Here is a 22,283-nt window from a genome sequence, read left to right on the forward strand (position 1 = left end):
TCAACAGCCAAGGGCCATTTATAGAATTGGAATGAAGAGAAGGCATCAGAAGTATTTCATGCATGGCAGTTCCTGTGCTGGTCACTTTCACAAACATTACCTTGTTTAATTCTCAGCCAACCCTGGGAGATGGGTATTATTCATAAGGGAACCAAGGTTCAAAAAGTCTAGGTGACTTGGATGGCACCCAGATAGATCTTGAAATTCAGTGAAAGCCAAATAACTCAGAAACAGCAAATAGAAGCAGTTGTTCAATGATACTAAACTGAAATATAATAGAAGCAGTTGTTCAATGATACCAAACTGAAATATAATCTGCAAATATTAATCTGGAGTCATTAAATGTACAAGTTGTTCCAGTGTGCTGACTCCTCACCCCACCACACAATGAAGGAATTCTTTCTTGTTTACTCCTAGCTTGATGAATTCATATAATGTCATCTGCTATTTCAATATAACAAATCCAAACCATTCCTCTTCTTATACACCAGGAATGTATTAAATAGTGTTAAATCCCGAGAATTCAGTAAGGTTTAATATCCTAGCATATCGTCGAAGTAGAGAGATTTCTTTGTCATGTAATAAAACATATTCTTTATGGTTCAGATTGTCTTTTTGCTGGCCATGCAGACACGCCAAGTTGAAACCTGCTTCTAATTATCACGCCTACTCTGTACTGAACGAACCACAAAAAACAATTAGGGGTAAACACTTTTCAACAGCAGATGCTTGAAATCTTTTACATGTCTACCTTACGTGCCTTGACACATTTGCTGATATGGGTCCCAGACAAAGGGTGTTGTTATTCTTGGACTGCAATGAAGGGCACACAGCCCCCCTGCAGGACACACAGCCTGACATAATTTGAATCTGCCGCCATTAAGACAAAGCTTCGAGATAAACCTCACTAAGACTCAAAAAGCAAACACTGCTTCACGTTCGCAATTTGGAGGAAAATAAAGCTTGGGAAAGAAGCACCAGGACATGAAATTTCAGGGACATTTGTTCCATTTTTGGAGCTCACCTGTTGGGTTTGCAGGAATATCCAGGAGGGTCTTCAACAGCTTCATGTCTTTAATGTTGTGAATATAAATGGACTCTTCTAGGCAAACCAGCAGCCTCTGTAATCACACAGACTTATCAGTCTACCGAACCGTTCCTTACAAAGACCCTGACCAAATCCAAATCATTCATCTTTCATATGAGTCCTAACTTGATTCTAAGCCTAAAGCAGAATTTTGATGATGCATTTTGAAGATTGTGTTTATGGATGTACACACATACACATGTAATCATCCACCTGAACACAAGCATAAAATGCAAGATCTTAAGAAATTTTATTAGAAATTAAGATTGTTTTTACTTCTCTCCTTCCTTCTTCCCTCCCTCCATTCCTCCCTCCCTCTCTTCCTTCTCCTTCTTTCCTTAGAACAGGGATCCTGAACACTTTTTTTTTTTTTTTTTTTTTTTGAGAAGGAGTCTCACTCTGTCACCCAGACTGGAGTGCAGTGGCGCAATCTCAGCTCACTGCAACCTCTGCCTCCAGGGTTCAAACAATTCTCCTGCATCAGCCTCCTGAGTAGCTGGGATTACATGCATGCACCACCACACCTGGCTAATTTTGTATTTTTAGTAGAGACGGGGTTTCACCATGTTGATCAGGCTGGTCTCGAACTCCCGACCTCAGGTGATCTGCCCGCCTCGGCCTCCCAAAGTGCTGGGATGATAGGCCTGAGCCACCGCGTTCAACAGGACTTCTGAACACTTTCTGATCAGACCCCCTGTGCCATGTAAGACAATTTCATGTGCCTTCTGTAGTTTCCACTGCCATCTAACAGGCTGCCTTTCAGTGTTTATAGCACAGGTCTCCCTCCTATATAAAAATGGGTTTCTTTGCTTTCTCTCCATCACCAAATCTTAGGTTTTACCCCTCTCTGAATAATTACCAGCTCTAACTTATTTCTACTCAGACTCTCCTCCAGGCCTGCTTTTGGGCCGCTGTCTGAGCCCTGGCAAAGGGAAAAGGAGAAGGGCTTCGGCCCCATTTGAACACCCCAGTGCCCCACGTCCCCACTGTTCCTTCCTGGGCTCCTCTCTCTGGTGCTTGCTCTCCCCACTGCTGCCAGACCCTTCTCTTCCTCTCCACATGAAAGCTTGTCAGGTTCAGAGCCTCTTCCCAATGGCTGTGCTCTCAGCTAAGTGAAAACAGGCCACAGGGTTGATGTATCGGGTGTTTAAAGGAATATAACGCATAGCCCAGTACAAGGGCAGACATCGGTGCTGGTGAGGAGGTGTCAGGAAGGCATTTCTGGTTGGGCAGCTCCTCGCACATCTGAGCAGCTGCCGACCACCCCTGCACATGCCTGACTTGGCTCCCCTCAGGCCAGTGTTTCTTAGACCTGGATGCCCAAGGAGCTGCCCAAGGAGCAAGCCCTGGGCTCTCCCCGGAGATTCTGGTTTGGGAAGTTTTTAGACGAATACCAGGTGATTGCGATGCACACTGAGGCTCAAGAACCACTGGTCTCAGCCAGCTCCTTTTATTCCAGGGAACATCAGCTAGAAGGGAAGGTACCAAAAAATACCACACAAAAGAGGCAGGCTCTGCTCCTGGGAAAAGCCTGCCCTGCTATTCCCCAAGGAAGACTATCCATGGCTCAGAATGATGAAGGTCATCAGTGTTAACCAAGCAGAAAAATAAAATTTAAACACATTTCTCAATTTTTTTTTTTTCAGACAGGGTCTCGTTCTGTCACCCAGGCTGCAGTGCAGTGGCAGGATTACAGATCACTGTAGCCTCAACCTCTGGGGCTCAGTCCATTTTCCCACCCCAGCCTCTCGGGTGGCAGGGACTACAGGTGTGCGCCACCATGCCTGGCTAATTTTTTGGTATTTTTTGTAGAGACCCGGGTTTCACTATGTTGTCCAGGTTAGTCTACCTCCTGAGCTCAAGAGCTCCTCCTGCCTCGGCCTCCCAAAGTGCTGGGATTACAAGCATGAGCTACTGTGCCCAGCCCTTTCTCAGTTTTACCTAAGGCTCTGTCGTAGGTCTGAGACTGGGGACTGAGGGTTAAAAAAATTCTAACAGGTTCTCAAAATTGATGATAAATATGAGTGTTCCTCTGTGAAATATTCTCTGACTTATCCAATCACTGTGCCTTTTGCCAGCACATGCCGTGGTTAGAACTACGTGGTTCTATGCTTCCTTCTGTTCAGAGGTTTCTGATATCCTCTTGTGTCCCCTCCCAGCCCCACACCCAATCCCTGGGATAGCGGGGCCTTGACATATGCCTCTCCTAGAAACAGCATCTACATCTAGCCCATCTGATCTGATCTGCATTTTTTTCCCAAGAGCTCTGATGGCACCATCTGCTCTGCGGCTCACTCAGCTGAATTTCAGGTCACCCTCATGCTGGCTGCAGATAAGACTAAACGCAGAGGGAAACAGAGAGAAAACACTGGGAGGGAACGAGGATGCACTCTTAGTTCGTGTGAGAGCATGCTTCTGGGGTGGGCACGATGCTGCTGATTGCTTTTTTAACTATCAGTTTTCAGCCCCCGCAGAACCATGGTCTTGCCTTCAACTCAGCTCCTTGTCTGTTGCTTTGAATTTCATCTACTTTTCTAGGTTTTATAAGCAATAACTCCTTTTATCAATTACAAAATATTTATAGCATCTGCCCTAGAACACCACAGATTTGGCCTCAGAGGCTTCGAGCCAATCAGCCTCCATCTGGATAGCAAGGGCCCCTGGGAGGAGACTGCAAAAGAACTGTAAAAGTATGCAAATCTAAATACATCATACAGCTGTCTTGATTCCATAAAATATATTTCCTCAGTTCAATACAAGAGAAATAACATTAACTAAAAATGAAACATATGACAATTCCTAAGTGTTCTTCTTTTTTAAATTTTTAAATTTTTATTTTTTATAGAGACAGGGTCTTGCTGTGTCACCTAGGCTGGAATGCAGCAGCGTGATCATAGCTCACTGCAGCCTTCAACTCTTGGGCTTAAACGATCCTCCTGCCTCAGCCTCCCAAGTAGCTAGGCCTACGGGCAAGTGCCACCATGCCCAGCTAATTTATTTTTATAGTAAAGACCTAGTAAAGACTAGGTCTCGTTACATTGCCCAAGCTGGACTCAAACTCCTGGGCTCAAGCGATCCTCCTGCCTCGGCCTCCTGAAGTGCTGGGACCACACTTGGCCCTTTCCTTCCTATATACTTAGAAAAAAGGGATTTGGGGCCAGGTGCGGTGGCTCACACCTGTAATCCCTGCACTTTGGGAGGCCGAGGTGGGTGGATCACGAGGTCAGGAGATCGAGAACATCCTGGCTAACATGGTGAAACCCCATCTCTACTAAAAATACAAAAACATTAGCCGGGCGTGGTGGCAGGTGCTTGTAGTCCCAGCTACTTGGGAGGGTGAGGCAGGAGAATTGCTTGAACACGGGAGGTAGAGGTTGTGGTGAGCTGAGACTGCACTCCAGCCTGGGCAACAGAGTGAGACTCTATCTCAAAAAAAAAAAAAAAAAAAAAAGATAAAAGGGATTTTGGATCCTTATAACACCTTATCCAAATCTTTAACTTTTTCCTGTTTTTCAAAAAAGAAACTGTGCTGTCTGAAGGCCTGAGGAAGTAGCAGACTGAGTGCTACAGAATAGAACAGGACACACTCCCCTTGGGCCTTTATCATTTCCCCAGAGTGGGCAGTCCTCCCGGACACCACAGAATCCCTACCTGGCAAGAGAGGCTGCAGCAGCTGAGTTGCTTAAACCAAAATTTAAGTCCCAAACCTGAAAGTTTTAAGAAAAGCAAACCCCCAATACTTCCCAGACCTGTTTCAAATCATTCTTGTCGGAGAAGAAATGTAAAGGAAGGGAGAACTCTTAGATATTGGTTCCAATGAACCGATGCTCATCTTGGTTCCGACGTTAGATCTTGGTTCCGAGAACTGTTAGATCTTGGTTCGTGGCTTTGCCATGAATTGCTGACAGTTCCTGGTGCATCAGTGTTCTTTAGAAGGTGGGGGAGGAGAACCTCACAGTTAATGAGTATTATATTAAGGGGAGGCTGGCACCTAAAGGTTAACAGACTCGGACACTCAAATAGGCCTTCCTTGTCCCATTTGCTAATGAATATACCAGACAGAAAGAGAGAAATCATACAAGCAAATACAATAGACGCTATTTGAGGGTTCCGGTCTTTACAGATCATTTGCCTAAACAATCTTAAAAAGATCATCAGGTGCCAAAAACAGACATTTAACCTTGTATACGGATTACTACTATATGCAAGGATAAAAAGTTTAGCAGCGAAACTTAATCTGCTACCAACAGATTTCAGTGAAAACACCTGAGTCAAGAATTTCATCTAAAAGCCTTCAATCAGAAAACTCTCAAACTGCCTTTCCCTCCCTTGCCAAGAATGCAGGTTTCTTTTCTTTCTTACTCCTGCTACTCCCTACTTAAAAGGTCCCACTTCTCTTTCTCCAGCTATTTTTCACCGCACTGCTTTAGGTGGACTTAAGTGGATTTTCATTTGAAAGAGTTGATCAATTCAAAGAAACAATCCCTTCCTTCTCATAAATTTAAAAAGCATTTATTTGTCTCATTTGTTAAAAAAAATTAATTAGTACTTAAGAGTTTAGACAAAGACAGAAGAAAACATTGTCCTCAATGAATGCAGCAACCGCTCTGGGAATACTTAATTGAATAGATAAATCTGCATGGTCACATAAAGAATCTCTTTGTTTATTTACTTATTTAACAGTCAGTCAGGAAACAGATATTTATGAGCACGTATCTACCAAGCACTGCCTTTTCTACCAGGTCGTATAATGGTGAACACACCAGCACAGTGCCTGCCTTCACAGTAATTTGGCCAAGCGTGGTGGCTCATGCCTGTAATTCCAGCACTCTGCGAGGCCAAGGAGGATCCTTGAGCCCAGGAGTTTGAGACCAGACTGGGCAACATGGGGAAACACTGTAATATGATTCAGATCAGTGTCCCTCCCCAAATCTCATGTCGAATTGTAATCTTCAGTGTTGGAGGAAGGTGGCAGAGTTCTTATGAATGGTTTAGTACCATCCCCCACCATAGAGTGAGTGAGTTCTCACGAGACCTGGTTGTTTAATAGTGGGTAGTACCCCCCACCCGTCTCTTGGTCCTGCTCCTGCCACGTAAGACGCCTGCTCCCGCTTTGCCTTCCGCCATGAATCAAAGCTCCCTGAGCCCTCCCCAGAAGCAGATGCTGCCGTGCTTCCTGTACAGCCTGCAGAACCTTGACCCAGTGAAACCTATTTTCTTTATAAATTACCCAATCTCCGGTAGTTCTTTAGAGTAATGTGAGAATAGACGAATACACTCTGGCAATATAAAAAAATACAGAAAAATTAGCTGGGCGTGGTGGTGCCCACCTGTAGTCCCAGCTACTCAGGAGGTTGAGGTGGGAGGATTGTTTGAGCCTGGGAGATGGAGGCTGCAGTGAGCCAAGATTGTGCCACTGCATTCCAGCCTGGGCAATAGGGCAAGACCCTGTCTCAAAAACAGAAACAACAACCCAAAATGAAAACCCAGCAATTCAAAAGGAAATCTGCTAACACCCCCAATACTTACTGAATAAGAATTTATATTTTAAAAGAGAACATATTGCCTATTTGAGATCAGAATAATCCTTCAACAAAGAAAATGCTACAAAAAAAACAAAAAGTCTTCAAGGGTTAGCTGGGAAAAAGAAAAATGAGAACCCAAGGCTGAATAGCAGACCTTCCAGGAGAGCTGAGGACGTGGTGGGAGAAGGGCAGCTTTCCTGACCCAGGGAGCCCCCACTTCACTCTCAGGCATCTCCTGCTCAGTGGTATTGCCCCAACATCTGCAATGAATGACACTATCTAGGGCAAAACCAGAAGAGTCGCTCCTCTGATTTAAGGTGCTCTTGCGGTGGCTCATGGGACTGTCCAAGCCAGAGCTCTGACCCATCCCTGCGGTGCCCAATCTGTACCCTAGGGAGAGGGTGCAGCCTACCAGTCAGGGACCAACGTTCTGGAAACATGAGCCAGAGGTCTAGGGAAAACAACGTTACAACCAGCACCTGGAGTAGACTCTGTTTACAATACCCCCGGGACACGGGGCCTGAGTGTTAACATTCTCATTAGAATTGGAAGCTTGTTTTACAGACATTGATCTTGAAAGATGTCCATCTTTTTGTTTGGCTCCCGTTAGCAGAAGCTTTGAAACCCTGAGGGATTTCCCCACTTACTTGCCGGTTCAGCCTTATGGACAAGATGTTGCTGGAGTAGCTGTAATTACAGATCTCTGTGCCTTTCTTGAAGTGATACACGTTCATCTGCCGTGGTTTTGTGTGACTGACTACCACCACCAGGCTGCTGGAGAAGAGGCGCTCCACGATGTAGACGTCCGGGATTTCATCTGGGAGGAAAAGCAGCCGGGAGGTTACATGGATTGATCACTTCCAAGAAGGATTCCAGCCTCCATGACACTGGGCCCGGCGCAGGCCAGGTTCCAAAGGTTCTCCGGGTCTTGCCGGCCAGGCGCCCTCTCTGAGCTTGCATTGACAGTGATCCACCATGCCCCCCACCCTGCCAGGTGGCTTTTTACCCTCTCCCAGGGAGCACTTTCAGAGTCCTTTCCAAATATCTAAAGTAAAGAAAACACTAGTGGCCTGGCATGGCGGCTCACGCCTAGTAATCCCAGCACTTTGGGAGGCTGAGGCAGGAGAATCACTTGAGGCCAGGAGTTCAAGACCAGCCTGGCCAACATGGCGAAACCCCATCTCTACTAAAAATATTTTAAAAATTAGCCAGGTATGGTGGTGCACACCTGTAATCTCAGCTACTCGGGAGGCTGAGGCATGAGAATCACCTGAACCCAGGAGGAAGAGATTGCAGTGAGCCGAGATCACAACACTGCACTCCAGCCTGGGCGACAAGCAAGACTCCGTCTCAAGAAAAGAAAAAGAAAACACTAGTGACTAGACTGCAAGTCAGAGCAAAGGCAGACAGCTGCCTCTGATGCTGTCTGAGTGGCAGAATCTCCCCTCCAGACCCTAGGGCTCCACTGTTTGCTCTGTCAAACATGTTTGGAATATTTGAACAATTTTCATCTACCCTTTCCCTGAGAGATTTCAAAGGCGTGACTTCTCAGTTGGGAACTTCTGCTTCAGAATTCTTCTTGTCCTGCTAGAGGGGTGCCAATATGGGAGGGGACAGTAACACAGTTAAATCTGTACTCCCCCCACCCCCTATCTTGCTGTGCTCCCTGGATCTCTTTCCTGCTGAAAACCATCTGGACATCAGTATTATGACGAGGAAAGTACTTCTGTACTCAGGAAGAAGTTAGTTAATGACCCTCCTGAGCACAAAGGTTACGGCTTTGGTATCTTTCTGAGCACATTCTTTTCATATGTGTGCCTTTCTTCCACTTGGAAAAGGCCCACAGGGAACAATGTGGGACAGACATAGAGCAAAAAATTCACAAAAATGGTGTAATAACAATAACATCTTACAAATAAAGTAGGAGCCCAAAATATTATTTACTGAACCACTTTTTTTCCAGGAAACTGAAAGGTTGTATATTGTTCGCTATTATGATGGCATAAACCATCACCCTGACAAAATAAGGAAGTCACATTTCTAGTGAATTATTTACAGTGTTCACTAGACATGCTTCAACATCATTGACATGGGCTATGTAAATAGGATACCGTTGCCTTCTTCAAACAAATACTTCCAAAACTGAATCAATGTTATCAGTATCTTATGGTGCCAATATAATGGCAAAAATAAGTCACAGGTGGCTGGGTGAGGTGGCTCACGCCTGTAATCTCAGGACTTTGGGAGGCCAAAATGGGCAGATAACTCAAAGTCAGGAGTTGGAGACCAGCCTGGCCAACGTGGTGAAACCCCGTCTCTACTAAAAATACAAAAATTAGCTGGGTTTGGTGGCATGTGCCTGTAATCTCATCTACTTGGGAGGCTGAGGCAGGAGAATCACTTGAACCCAGGAGGTGGAGGTTGCAGTGAGCCAAGATCGTGCCACTGCACTCCAGCCTGGGTGATAGAGCAAGACTCCATCTCAAAAAAAGAAAGAAAGAAAATGTCACAAGTGTCCTTTAGGTTTGACAGTTATAAAAATTAATGACTGTGCATATAAGCATGTGAAAAAGTCTCAATAATATGATTTCACACAAATAATTTCTTCTATAAAAAGAAAATGTTACTTAAACTGTTGCCAGATCTAAGTGCTTGTGGTTTAAAGCAAGTAGTGGCAACGATTTATATTTAAATCTAAAAATCTTGACTCCCTAAGTTTGATGGCTAAGGAAGGGAAAAATAGGCAGCTTGGTAGCACCGCAGATTAAAGCCTAGAAGGAGGCTCTGGTTCTCCTGCAGATCCCTGAGGTCTCTCTCACACACACTTACTGCTTCCGTGGACTTGATCCAGCTGCTCCACAGAACTCAGAGAAAACAGCTTATACCCGGCTTTAGTTCCAGTTGCTAGGGATCTGTGGAGGATAATGACAGCATGGGAATAACGACAGGTATTCTAACAACAGATCTGTCTGCAAATAGATGCCTTTTGCCCCCTAGCCTCAGGGGTACAGTAAACAAGCATCTGCAGGAGCTTAGATCCTTGGTAACTTCCTAAATGGTGACGCATGTCTTGACAGGCAGGAAGAGCAAAAGAAAAGAAGAAAAAGTCAAAGGCAACTTAAAAAAAAAAGTGAAATGATCAAGGGGCATGAAACTGCATGAGCTCTGTCATCCAACAAAATGTCAAATCTAGCAGACATGTTTTTCCCACTGGGCAGATAACAGGAAAAATTGAATGTTTAAGAATATTCATAATAGCTGAAAGCTCTACCTCCAACACAACGAGGGGGCCTTCTTGTTGTCTGAGAGGCACTTTACCAGATAAATCAGTTTTTCTTTCCTTCATAACTTTATTTGTTTGTTGCTTATAAGAAGAAACATGCTTTGCTTTTCTTTTCCTTTTTTTTTTTTTTTTTGAGAGGGAGTCTCGCTCTGTCACCCGGGCTGGAGTGCAGTGGTGCCATCACAGCTCACTCCAACCTCCGCCTCCTGGGTTCAAGCAATTCTCCTGCCTCAGCCTCCCGAGCAGTGAGGATTACAGGCATGCACCACCACGCCAGGCTAATTTTTGTATTTTTAGTAGAGACAGGGTTTCACCATGTTGACTAGGCTGGTCTTGAACTCCTGGCCTCAAGTAATCCACCTGCCTCGGCCTCCCAAAGTGCTTAGGCATCAGCCACCATGCCTGGTCTAAGAAATACACTTTCAAAGTAGGCATAGTAGGTCATTAGTAGGTAAAATTTAATAGATGCTTCCTTTCATCAGTTTCCAGAAAAATGTCCTGATACTTCATACTAGTAGCTCTCACACCTGGATGTATATTAAACTCAGCTGGGAAGTTTAATTGGATTTGAAGTTCAAGTATTCTAATGAGCAGCCCAAGTTGGAGAACTCTGCTTTCTACTATATCCTACAAAGCAATCATCACAACCAACAAACAAAATACAAACTAAACATTTATCTAGGACAATCAAAGTGCCTCTTAAAAAAAATCTGGTTCTCTTAATTTTTCATTTTTCAATGAGGAGATAAAGACAGGACGTGAATCCAGATTTTCTTGGCCTTGTGTTGAAAGTAAACATCAAAGTCAACTTTGTTCAGCAGCTGGGAATCCTCACCCAGCTCTTTCCAGCTGTGCCCTCCGCACCTAAGTGATGAACAGAATCTGACCCGGAGCACACTCACAGAAGTGTGCTTCTCTGGAAGGCAAGGTGAAATTCACTCTTTACAGGGAAGCATATACTAAAATAAGCAACTTACTATTACAAGCCTGGATGGCCAAGGCTCTTGTTTCACTAGCCTAAAAAAGAGAAGGTCACATGATTTTCCCTGGAATTTTTTTTCCCTACCCAGACATTTGTTCTTCCCTGGGACACAGGGATAGGGCAACTACAGTAAACTTTTAATCCACAAGGTAGCTGGTGACGTCTCGCAGCCCTCCAACCTGCTAAGTAGCTAAACTGGTGGGTTAGACATTTGCAGCTGTGCACTTAGAACTGGCATTTAGTACCTAGACTGAGGTATTCATGATGACAAACAGCAACTGGAAAAGTAAGCCCAGAGCATCTTAAAACTTCAAAATGTATTTTGTAGTGTTATTGTTTTTAAACTTTCTTCACATAAACTTTTTCACATAAATATAGATGTGTTTGGCTGCGAAATGAGGTTTGTAAAGTTTGCAAGTAAGGAAAGAAATACTGTAACTAGAGTCTTATAACATTAATGCAAAGTGACAGCAATTTAAAGTAATTTTCAAACATAAGCCCTGCTCCTGGACCAGAAGAATTCTACATATGAGAAAATCACAGAGTGATGTTTTATGTGATGTTTTACGTGATTGATCAATGGCCACAAAAGACTCTGAATCAAGGAATTTAGACTTAGACCTTATTTCATCCATAAAGTCTTTCTGTAGAAACAAAATTCTAATCACCACTCATGGAAACAGAGCTTGGGACAAATATTTATCATTAATCAAATTTAAAATGTACCCAAAGTAGGCTGGGCATAGTGTGTCACATCTGTAATCCCAGCATTTTGGGAGGCTGAGGTGGGTGGATCACTTGAGGTCAGGAGTTCAAGACCAAGCTGGGCAATGTGGCAAAACCCCGTCTCTACTAAAAATACAAAAAATTAGCTGAGTGTGGTGGTACACGTTTGTAATCCTAGCTACTTGAGAGGCTGAGACAGGAGAATCGCTTGAACCCTGGGAGGCAGAGGCTGCACTGAGCCAAGACCACACCACTGCACTCCAGCCTGGGTGACAGAGCAAGACTGTCTCAAAAAAAAAAAAAAAAAAAGTACCCAAAGTGTATAGCACAAGTACCAATCACGAAGTATGAGCGTAGGGGACTGGTAAGGGTTTGCTGTTTTCACCTACCTTCTTTGGAAATACTGGATCCCAAATTCAGCCTACATTTATAGAAAAAGACATGGCAATACACCTAAATGTATTCAGTAAGGGGCTTGACTTATTTTAAAATCCAATGTCATACCCTCTGTGGCTCAAAGCAACTGACTGTGACAAGAACTTTTATTTATAGGCAAGGCAAAGCTGCCCAGCAGAGCTTCCATCCAAGAAAATAAAACTAACAGTAGGGAGTAAGGAAATTAACTTTCAAAGCACCCTACCGTTTTGAAAATAACATTCTTATTCAATTTCTGTAGAAAGCTGGGACTTTGCGTTATTTAATGGCTAGAGTATAAATTAACACCCTTTTTTGTCAAATCTAATGATGTTACAAAGCAGAATTTAGAACATTTACTACTTACAAGCAAACTAACCCCCTTTCTTAACTTGTGTTCAATTGGGAAGGAAAACATCACCCAGGCATTTCAACAGCCATGCCCTCTTGCAAAATGTTTCTTACAGAACATCAGGATTTTATCTATACCAGCATTTTTATAAACTGCAGGTCTCAACTCATGAGTGGATCCTAAAACGCAATTCAGTGAGTCACAAGCAGCTTAGAAAAAAAGGACACAGAAAATTGCACATGATATTTTGTGAATAGTGTATGTGTTATGGGTATTGGGTGATGTTGCAATACATATTTCGTATTGTGGATTGTGGTCAAGAAAAACTTGAAAGTCACTCAAATAACCAAGCTGTAGAGCTACTCGATTACATGATTACACATATGGGTTTTTCAAACAAAGGCATATTGTTCAGCACCGGGTGTTTTTAAACAGAAACATAAAGGGAATGGAAGCCAGGGTGGCTAATGGTACATAATGGCCTTAATTACACCACTGAAGGATCAATATTAGCGTAGCTCAGTCACCAGCAGCCAAGGCACAGAAACTGGTACAGCAGGAAGTGGGAAACTGGGAATCGGTCATCCCCGCCTGATGCTCAGGGTGCACATTCCAAAAAGATGATTCCATATGGTCCCCAGGGCTCGCTTCCATGAAAATAGGGAAAGAAACAGGCGTTTGCCTGTAAGTCACAGAATCCTGCAGATGCCTGAAACACACTTCAGCCCAGCTCCCTCTCAAAGCCCAAATGTGAACATCGAAGTAAAACATTAAAAATCCACTCAAAAACAACAGGGTGGAGCTCCTGTTTCCTGGAGAGAAAGCAGTCTGCGCCCGGGAAAAGAGTCTTGGACTCCGAGAAGGAGATCCTGCCTGGCTGGGTGGGCGATGTGAAAACAGCCAAAGAAATCCAAAGGTTTCTTCCATCCAGAGCGGGCAGGCACGATGCCCTGCGTCGGGGATGGGACAGGGGCTGGCCTGGCCGCAGGGATAGGCTGCCTCTTTGTCCGAGGCCCTGCCCAGATGCCACGTTGAGATGCTCAAGGACAAATGGGAAAGTTTTTCCTGTACTCTCATCTTCCTGGGCCCCAACTACAGAGTCCTGGGTCAACTTGCAACTTCCTCTCCTTTCTCATCTCTTTCTTTTGGCCACTGTCTCTCTTCCCCAGACACCCACTTTGGTCACTGGCTTTCCCACCGCCCTGCTCCCCCCATATTCCGTGGCCCCCGCAGCCCCACCACTCCCTTTGCGAACTCCCTGCTTTCACCCTTGGCCCAACCTTGTCGCTCTGGGAGGACACTGGGAGTGGGGTGGGGTGGGGGGTGCGGCAAACCCCACTGAAGGGGTACGGGGATAACAAGATCCCAATGCGTCCGAAGCAGACACCGGCCCTCCCGCCGAGGCCGCCTCGAGGCGGAAGCCACAAGCTGCTCTCAGGACGACACCCCTGGGTCCTGACACTCTGTCCCCCACCTCCCTGGCAGGGGCCGAGTCGCAGCTTACGTGCAGTCCTGGTTGAAAGAGAAGCAGCTGAGCGCCGACTCAACCCCGCCCGGGGGAGCGTCCGCGGCCTCGGCCTCCATCGGGGGCTCGGCCCGGGAAGCCGCAGCTCGGAGCCGGCGACAGCCACCTCAGCAGCCCGCCCGCGCCGGCTCCACGGGCCGGGTCGCCGGTCCTGCCCCGCCCCTACCCCGCCCCGTCCCCACCCCGCCCCTACCCCGCCCCGTCCCCACCCCGCCCCTACCCCGCCCCGTCCCCGCCGCGTCCCCGGCTTCGCCCCGCCCCTTCTCGCCCCTCCAGCTGGTCCCGAGGACCAGAGCACCTGATAGGGCGGGGCCCCTGCCTCCGGCCACCATTGGCCACGAGCCCAAGCCACGGCTGGCGGGCACCGCCCCCCTTGGCCAATCCGTGGCAGCTGTGGGCGGACCCGCCCGGCTGGCGACCCGCCCCTGGCTTCGTAACGCGGCTCTCCATTGGACAAAGGCGCGTGACGCAAAGGCAGCAGGCCCACGTGGCGGTGTTTTCATTGCCGGAGCCGCCCAGCTGGGAGGGAGAGGGAAGAAGGAATGCGGCTGGGGCCAGATCTGCTGGTTTCAGTCCGGCAACTGCGTCGGGGCCGCCGCAAGGGTGACAGGAGGACGCGCTAGTTCCCACCCCGCCCAGACCCCTTGCCATGTGTAACTCTGCCTATTAAACTTACAGAGTTTAGCAGAGAGCGTTAGACTCCAAAGCCCCACCCTTTTGTCGAGTCCTCAAGCCGCATTGAGAGAAGCTCCTGAAATGGGGCTGCCTCAGCCAGAGAGATAGCAAGTTATCTTATCCATTGCCGAGCGGTTGAGAACCCTCACTACTTGCCAAGCGCGCCGTACTATGTATGTCATCTTGAATTCTTATAAAACTTGTGTGGAAAATACGATTGTGCTCAATATACAGAAGAGGCAACTGAAGCTCCAAAGCTAAACAATTTGTCTAAAGTAACAGTAAATGGTAGAATGTCTGCATGTCTGCTTTCAAGACCTGTGCACTAAATAACTGCTAAACAGTAATTTGCAAAAACAACGTAGCACCTAGCATGCGAGATTCTAGGTTTTCTAACCAGGACAGAAATGACTGCAGCATTTGACGGAGCTGGAAGGTGGGGGGAAGCACCTTTGATCTGAAAAGTTACAAAAATGGCACAAAGTATCTAAACAAGACCTATCCGATCCGCAGCTGAAAAAAATGAAAGTGTGTGTAGGGCAGTGTAGTTTATGAAAGGGGTAACGTCTTGAAGATATAGCACAATTCAAAACTCACGTAATTCGAGATAAACCTTAACAAAGAATCTCTTTTTAAAAGCTGAGTACTGTACATGTTCCCATGCGGAATTACTGTCAATACGGTTTATGAAGCAGGAGCTCTGCCAGCTTTGGATTGTATAACTGCTGATGGATTTTTAATTCATTTTTTCAAATTTTGAGATGATATTTTAGTTATTGTTATATGACAGTCTCTCAAATCAGCATAATTCAAATTTATTAGGTTGGTGCAAAAGTAATTGCGGTTTTCCCCATTTCCCACTTTTAATACCCAGTTTATGACAAAGCTACTTTTATGTATGTGTATATATATATATATTTAACCTTGGACCTACAATAGATGAACAAAGGGCACTATTTCACCTAAACCTTTCTGGTTGGATTTCCGGTTTGTGTTTTCTGAGATGCAAATGTAACAGTTTCTTTTCTCAACTTTATTATTTTTTTCTCTCCACTGATGTAAAAAATAGTTCAGCTCATAGATTCACAGATGTTATTGCTCTTTGGCTGATTGTGAGGTGTTGTATAAACTATCAGAAGTGAATGGAACTGCTGTTTAGATACTTTGTGCCATTTTTGTAACCTTTCAGATCAAAGGTGCTTCCCCCCACCTTCCAGCTCTGTCAAATGCTGCAGTCATTTCTGTCCTGGTTAGAAAACCTAGAATCTGGCATGCTAGGTGCTACGTTGTTTGGAGAATTACATGAAGTGTACCATAAAGTTTTTAAAGTGTAAGCTGTTATTATCAGTTTGTTATTAAGAGTTTGGACTTTATGGGATAGACCTGGGAGCTGGTGTTAGTTTTTGAGCAGGAGTGTTTCATGATAAAAAAGCAGTGTCTTTGTCAGATAAACTTGGCCAGGGTGTGCAGAACAAATTAGAAGTGGGAAAAGATCTAGAAGTCTTTAGGGGACTAATGTGAAATTCTGGAAGTAAAGGGACAGGAGAGACTAGGCTAAAGTGATGAAAACAAGGCCAGAAAATTAGACCAAATCATAGAGTTGTTTTCAGGCATTGCTGTCCAGTAGATAAAATGAGCCCCAAATGTGAACTCCACATTGTAAATTTCAGTTTTCTAGAAGATACATTTAAAAAGGTAGAAATAGGCAAATTAATTGGAATAATATCATTTATTTAATCCAATGTGTCAAAAATATCATTTCAATATAAAGATAATCAATATAAAGTTACTAATCAGTTAATTCAGGTTTTAATTTTTTTTTTTTTTGAGACAGAGTCTTGCTCTGTCACCAGGCTCACTGCAACCTCTCCATCCCGGGTTCAAGCGATTCTCCTGCCTCAGCCTCCCAAGCAGCTGGGACTTCAGGCCCCCGCCACCATGCCCAGCTAATTTTTGTATTTTTAATACAGACGGGATTTCACCATGTTGGTCAGGCTGGTCTCACACTCCTGACCTCATGATCCACCTGCCTCAGCCTCCCAAAGTGCTGGGATTACAGGCGTGAGCCACCACGCCTGGCCTCAGATTTTAATTTTTTTTTAGAACTAAATATTGAATATCCGGTGTGTATTTTTCACTTACACCATATCTCAGTTCACATGAGCCACATTTTAAGTGTTCATGTAGCTGGTGGCTACTTTATTCTCAGTAGAGTCTTGAGGGACTAAATGACAGGCATGGCAACTGATGGGGAAGGGGGAGGGGCAGGGAAGAAGAGGGAAGAGTCAAAGCTGATTTCATGGTTGGGAAGGGGAAGCCCATTGGGTTGCTTTTAGAAACTAGATCTTCAGTCAGGTATTCAGGAAGTTGTATTTCATTTCAGACACTTTAAATCAGCAGCAGAACTGCATGCTTACTGGAATCAAGGTTTGGATCTAGAGCTATGGCCACGGGAGAAAAATGGTCACCTTCCCAGCCTCAGCCTTTCCTGTGAATGGTCCCCCTTATATGTTTCTTTCCAGGCTAATGGTCCATTATGGCACCAGCCATGTGGAAATAACATCTCAGGGCTGCCTCATCTGATTTCATTTTTCCCAAGACAATATGTAAGTCTGTATTTTTATATAAATCTGTGCCTATTTTATTAAAAACCTGTATTTGTAGGTAAATTTAAAAAATGATGAAAACTAATTCTTATTTTCAAAAAGTACCTCATAAGCTAAACTAAATACATCAGCTAGCTGGATGTGGTTTGTGGAGGGCTGGTTTGTGATTTCTGTTAGAGGTGTAAGCAGCCACTTTGAAGAGCTCCACCCTCAAAAAATTTCCCAGAAGTCCATTCATATAAAAAGCCAAGGGCAAGGTTATAAATAACTTAAGAGGTGCTGAATCCATTTAATGTCAGGCTGGTTTTTCTTTTTTAACATTCTAGTTCTGGGTTCTGTGGGAGAGGACACTCTTGATTTGAATGTTGGGCTTATGGGCAACCTAAGTCTTACAAGTTCTTGCAACAGCAATTTCACTACTAAATAACATCAGCAAAAGATAATGGGGTAGGTGGGGCAGGGGACAATGCTTTGTTCCAGTGGGAATAAGATTTTGGCCTTTCTCTTTCTTTCAACTGAAATTCCTAAATGTCTATCTTTTCCCTGAAAAACAAAACAAACAAACAAACAAAAAACTCCATTATTTCTAGGAAAACTTACTCGTAAGTAACTAGTAAGTTACTTACCAGTCAGCAAAATCTGGGAAAATAAAGCTGGGCTCTGGGAATTAAAAACATGTTTGGTAATACAAAATTGCAGGCCACAGTTCATCTAATGGAGAGACTTCTTATTTGTATAACAATCAGGTTGTAATTTTAAAATGCTGATTAGGGCATGCACAGGGCATTCACAGGGGAAGGTGGAAATGAGACATCCTGTCTGATGCAACACTCCTGTCACCCCATATGGTCATTCATGGCACCCAACCATCTACAATTAAAGTAACTACTAGGTGAACAAACACCACTCCTGTCCTATTCTTCTTTTTATAAAGTCCATTCTATTTTTATAAAATCAAGTTACAGGAAATAATCTCCTTTCTCTTTTCTGCTATGGGGCAACACTCAGAACATGAACTGAGAACGAGTTGAACTCTAATGGACCAGTGTATGGTAGCCCTTTGAGAAAGGGTAAAGGAGGAAGGGCCCTGGGACAATGGAGCCAAGAGGGAGAGGGAGGGAAGGGCGATGTGTCAGTACGTGGAGGAAGCTCAAGGAGTCAGCCCTATGGTGCCAGGGTAGAAGAGGAGGGGTTGGGCTGTGGGGTGATTTCTGGGAAAGGAGATGATCGAACTGATTGGCAAGCAGGAAGCCCCAGCCAGAAGTCTGGCCGAGCAGCAGGTGCAACTGGGTTTTCTGTTTCTAATTATAGACAGTGTGTGTGAGATAGCATGGCTGCAGTGAATGAAGAGGCCCTATCATGTGCCCTTGTCCCCCAAATGGAACCATTATTTCTGGATTTATTGATTAAAAGGGGAGAGACAGGGAGCAAAAACTAACAACACTTCTAATATTCCTTGACTTATATATTCCTTCCCAAGAGTCAGGAAAAATGTTATTTCATGAAAGAGTGAATTGATGTCTTAATCTTCATTCTCTCCCCTCACCTGTCTTATTTTTGCCTCCAGAATAGCCTTCCTAAAACACCAAGGTGAATTACAGGTTCTCAATAAATGCTTGCTGATTGGCTGATGATCACGAAGACAGTTGCTTTCTACAAGTGCTTTTGCTAATGTCCTTGGAGCTGAGAGTCTGTTACCCATGCCAGTGCAGAGAGGTTCAATCAAGGTGTTTTTGTTCACCGAGGCATCTTCGCACTGGTCAAGAACACAGAGACGGGTTCAGCAGGTCAGCCAATCACCCTGCCTTAAATTTTAGAATATAATTATAGGCGATACTTGAAAATAGAAGACCAAGCTTTATAGAAAGCTTGGTTTGGAGCGTCATAGATCTTCTCATGTGACGCTAACCACATCTATCTGGTCTAGGAATGTTTATCCCCATCAGGCAGCTGCATATGCCAAAGTGGAGACTGTCGAGTAAGTTGCCAAAGGCCCTAGGACAGTTTTTGATGCAGGTGTAGTTTGTATTCTGTCCCTTCCACTGGGTGCCCAGGTTGCCTGTCACGCTGTCTCTTGGACTGCTTTGGCTCAAGGCTGGAAATAGAATTGGCATCTTAACCTGTGCTTCATCCTATGAAGGGACAGAGGAGCAAGGGGTGAAGAGATAGAGGCAGAATTGTGCCAAGAGGGCCACGGGCCAAGTACAAGGGGGAGAGTGTGGAGTCCTGCAGCTCTTCAAAGGGCACCAGCACTTTGCCTACATTTACCAAGGGTACATCTAGAAATATTCAAAAACGTCCTTTGCTCCCAAGCAGAGAGTTAGCCTGTGCTCCTGGCTGGGCATGGCTTGTTGGAACGTGCTGTACGACTTTAGGTTTCTTTCTAGTCTAGCGGTGGTGCAGGGAGTGGTAATCATTCTCTAGAATCAGTCACCCCTGGGAAGAAGGTGGATTCAAAGGCTTTGGGCTTAGGGTGAGAGGGGCGTGGCTAAGAATCCCGAGATTCTTGGTGAACAGTGCCATCTAGTGGTCTGTATGATTTAGTTCTAGGATGGTTGGGGGGACACCTCAGGAAAAACTGGCTTGAGTGATAAGATATGGGTAGCCAGTCCTAAAGCCCCAAAAGAAAGTCTCTGAGGCTCCCTTGTGTATTTTTCCAAAACCTCTTTACTGTCTATAAATGGAAAACACAGAAGCCTCCCTCACCACTTCCTCTGAAGGAGGAGAAGTTTGGAAGGAGTTTGTATATTCATTCATTCATCCATTCATTCATTTGACCAATTTTTATCATGTGCCTGTTGTGTGCCGGTCATGGCTCCAGGTTCTAGGGATATGACGCTGTCCAAAATAAATAAAAACCCCTGCCCACCTGGGCAGAGAGACCATTAACAAGAAAAATGAGATGTATAGTATCTTAGATGGTGATAAGTGCTAAGAAATGTATAGCAGTGAAAGTGTGTTTGGGAGTGTGGGGTGTAGGGAGGAGAAATTTTGCATAGGGTGGGCAGGGAAGGCCCCACTGAAAATTTCCATTTGAACAAGACCTCAGGAAGAAAAGGGAGCAGGTTATGCAGTCATATGGGAAAAAGCTCAAAGAGCAGCGAGGAGGCAGGGCCGCTGGAGTGGGGAGAAGAGTGGGGAGAACTACAGGCAAAGAGGTCAGAGTGACCTGAGAAATCACTGGAAGTTCTGACTTACACTGGAATTCGACACAGACAGCTGTGTTGAAAAGAAATTGAAGGTGTCTTGGGAGATTCACAATTCACTTTAGCACGTTCAAGTCTCCAGAAAGCCCAGCATTATGTTTATTTAACATTGTTTCCCAAGTACTTTCCAAGCTTATTTAAAGATAGATTCCCTTTCTTCCAGGAACACCCACTACTTCATGTGGGAACCTGAGAAAATGGAAATCAGCTCAGATGAGCAGACTGGAATGTTCCCAACAGTCATAAACAAGGCCAGCACAAGGCCAGGTGAAAACTGTGTTTAACCCAAGGCCACACTGTAGCTGCAAAATTACTGACATTGGCATATCTAATCCTTTCTTATCAAAGCCTCTCCCAGACCCACTCGATTTCTCCACTTGCTGAACAAAAATTTCTGAGATATCCGATGATGAAACCACCTGCTTCACAACACATCCATTCCTGACCTGATTCCTGTTTCTTCTACCTTTCCCTTCCTAGCATAACTTAACACAAACCTGGCAAAAAGCCCTTTCCCACAGCCTCTTACTGAGATGCCTCATGGTTCACTTGATGTGCACACCCTCTTGCTGCAGGAAGTTAATAAAACTGACATTGCCGAGGCGGATGGATCGTGAGGTCAGGAGTTCGAGACCAGCCTGGCCAACACGGTGAAACCCCGTCTCTACTAAAAATACAAAAATTAGCTGGGTGTGGTGGCACGTGCCTGTAGTCCCAGTTACTTGGGAGGCTGAGGCAGGAGAATCGCTTGAACCCGGGAGGTGGAGGTTGCAGTGAGCCGAGATCGTGCCGCCGCACACTGTACTCCTGCCTGGGCGACAAAGCGAGACTCTGTCTCAAAAAAAAAAACAAAAAAAACAAAAAAAACACCTAACATTGAAAAGGTTTATTCCTCTTATACTTTACCTGTAGGTGTTATCAGAGCCCAGCGTTTCATAGAACGAGGTGTAAGAACAGCTGGACAAAATGATCACTTCCTATTATGAAATTCTGAGTCTAAAGACATTGCATCCCCCCAAAACTGTCTTGTATACCAATCAAAAACAGCATTTTAAGAATGAAAAGGGTGAGGAAGTGTGGGTTTTTTTTTTTTTTAGACGGAGTCTTGCTCTGTTGCCCAGGCTGGAGTGCAGTGGCGTGATCTCCGCTCACTGCAAGCTCCACCTCCCAGGTTCACACCATTCTCCTGCCTCAGCTTCCTGAGTAGCTGGGACTACAGGCGCCCGCCACCACGCCCGGCTAATTTTTTTTTTTTTGTATTTTCAGTAGATACGGGGTTTCACTGTGTTAGCCAGGATGGTCTCCATCACCTGACCTCGTGATCTGCCCGCCTCGGCCTTCCAAAGTACTGGGATTACAGGCGTGAGCCACCGCGCCCGGCCCCGGCCGGGTTATTTTTATAAGTTACTCCTTGTCTATCTGGTCCCTTCTGCTGCTAACATTTTTGGCTGAACATTTGTACTATGGGATCTCTTGGCTTGATGAGGGTTTAATACGCTTCCCTTCTGCTGGGAGCCTCCTTGGACTTTCTTGGGCAATGCACAGATGTCTGGAGACAGACCAGATTGTTTCTGGGCAAAACAAAGCACATTGTCTCAGCTTTCTATTATTATTATTATTTTTTAGATGGAGTCTCACTCTGTTGCCCAGGCTGGAGAGCAGTGGTGTGACCTCAGCTCACTGCAACCTCCGCCTCCGGGGTTCAAGCAATTCTCTTGCCTCAACCTCTGGAGTAGTTGGGATTACAGACGTGCGGTGCGCGACCACGCCCAGCAATTTTTTTTTTTTTTTTTTTTTTTTGTAGAGACGGGGTTTCACCATGTTGGCCAGGCTGGTCTCGAACTCCTGACCTCAGGTGATCCACCCGCCTGGGCCTCTCAAAGTGCTGGGATTACAGGCATG

At 45.1% G+C, this 22,283-nt stretch overlaps 3 protein-coding genes across 10 annotated transcripts in view, besides 3 other annotated features; 2 read left to right on the top strand and 1 right to left on the bottom strand.

The window, feature by feature from the left end:
* ARSG (arylsulfatase G) overlaps window positions 1-8,551 on the top strand; it is a 192,850-nt gene extending 184,299 nt beyond the window's left edge. For all 4 annotated transcript variants that reach the window (XM_047435644.1, XM_047435647.1, NM_001352910.2 and 1 more), the window contains one exon: window positions 7,223-8,551. The gene's annotated coding sequence lies outside the window, so the exon portion shown is untranslated. The remainder of the gene's footprint in view (window positions 1-7,222) is intronic.
* Window positions 1-14,028, bottom strand: part of WIPI1 (WD repeat domain, phosphoinositide interacting 1) — a 36,216-nt gene extending 22,188 nt beyond the window's left edge. For 3 of the 5 annotated variants that reach the window (NR_135471.2, NR_135470.2, NM_017983.7), the window contains exons 1-4: window positions 13,874-14,028; window positions 9,442-9,524; window positions 7,260-7,429; window positions 1,025-1,121 (exon numbers count right to left, since the gene is read on the bottom strand). Coding sequence is in view for 3 of the 5 variants with exons in the window: in NM_017983.7 (NP_060453.3) it covers window positions 1,025-1,121; window positions 7,260-7,429; window positions 9,442-9,524; window positions 13,874-13,953 (430 nt within the window). In the remaining 2 variants the exon portion in view is untranslated. Of the gene's footprint in view, window positions 1-1,024; window positions 1,122-4,836; window positions 7,228-7,259; window positions 7,430-9,441; window positions 9,525-13,873 lie in introns of those variants that run through there. The other 2 variants (NM_001320772.2, XM_017024808.2) reach the window with 2 other exon arrangements.
* PRKAR1A (protein kinase cAMP-dependent type I regulatory subunit alpha) overlaps window positions 1-22,283 on the top strand; it is a 137,694-nt gene that overhangs the window by 29,846 nt on the left and 85,565 nt on the right. The window lies entirely within an intron of this gene.
* Window positions 13,768-14,447: a silencer, noted in NCBI's record as "silent region_8901". NCBI's record gives its function as "represses an Ori minimal core promoter by ATAC-STARR-seq in GM12878 lymphoblastoid cells {active_cell/tissue: GM12878}" and the evidence as "EXISTENCE:reporter gene assay evidence [ECO:0000049][PMID:35858748]".
* Window positions 13,768-14,470: a biological region, named in NCBI's record as "ReSE screen-validated silencer GRCh37_chr17:66453793-66454079".
* Window positions 14,184-14,470: a silencer, noted in NCBI's record as "fragment chr17:66453793-66454079 (GRCh37/hg19 assembly coordinates)". NCBI's record gives its function as "represses an EF-1alpha promoter that drives an FKBP-Casp9 reporter gene in an ReSE screen in HepG2 liver carcinoma cells {active_cell/tissue: HepG2}" and the evidence as "EXISTENCE:reporter gene assay evidence [ECO:0000049][PMID:32094911]".

Source organism: Homo sapiens, chromosome 17 (assembly GCF_000001405.40).
Source record: "Homo sapiens chromosome 17, GRCh38.p14 Primary Assembly".
Classification (NCBI taxonomy): Eukaryota; Metazoa; Chordata; class Mammalia; order Primates; family Hominidae; genus Homo; species Homo sapiens.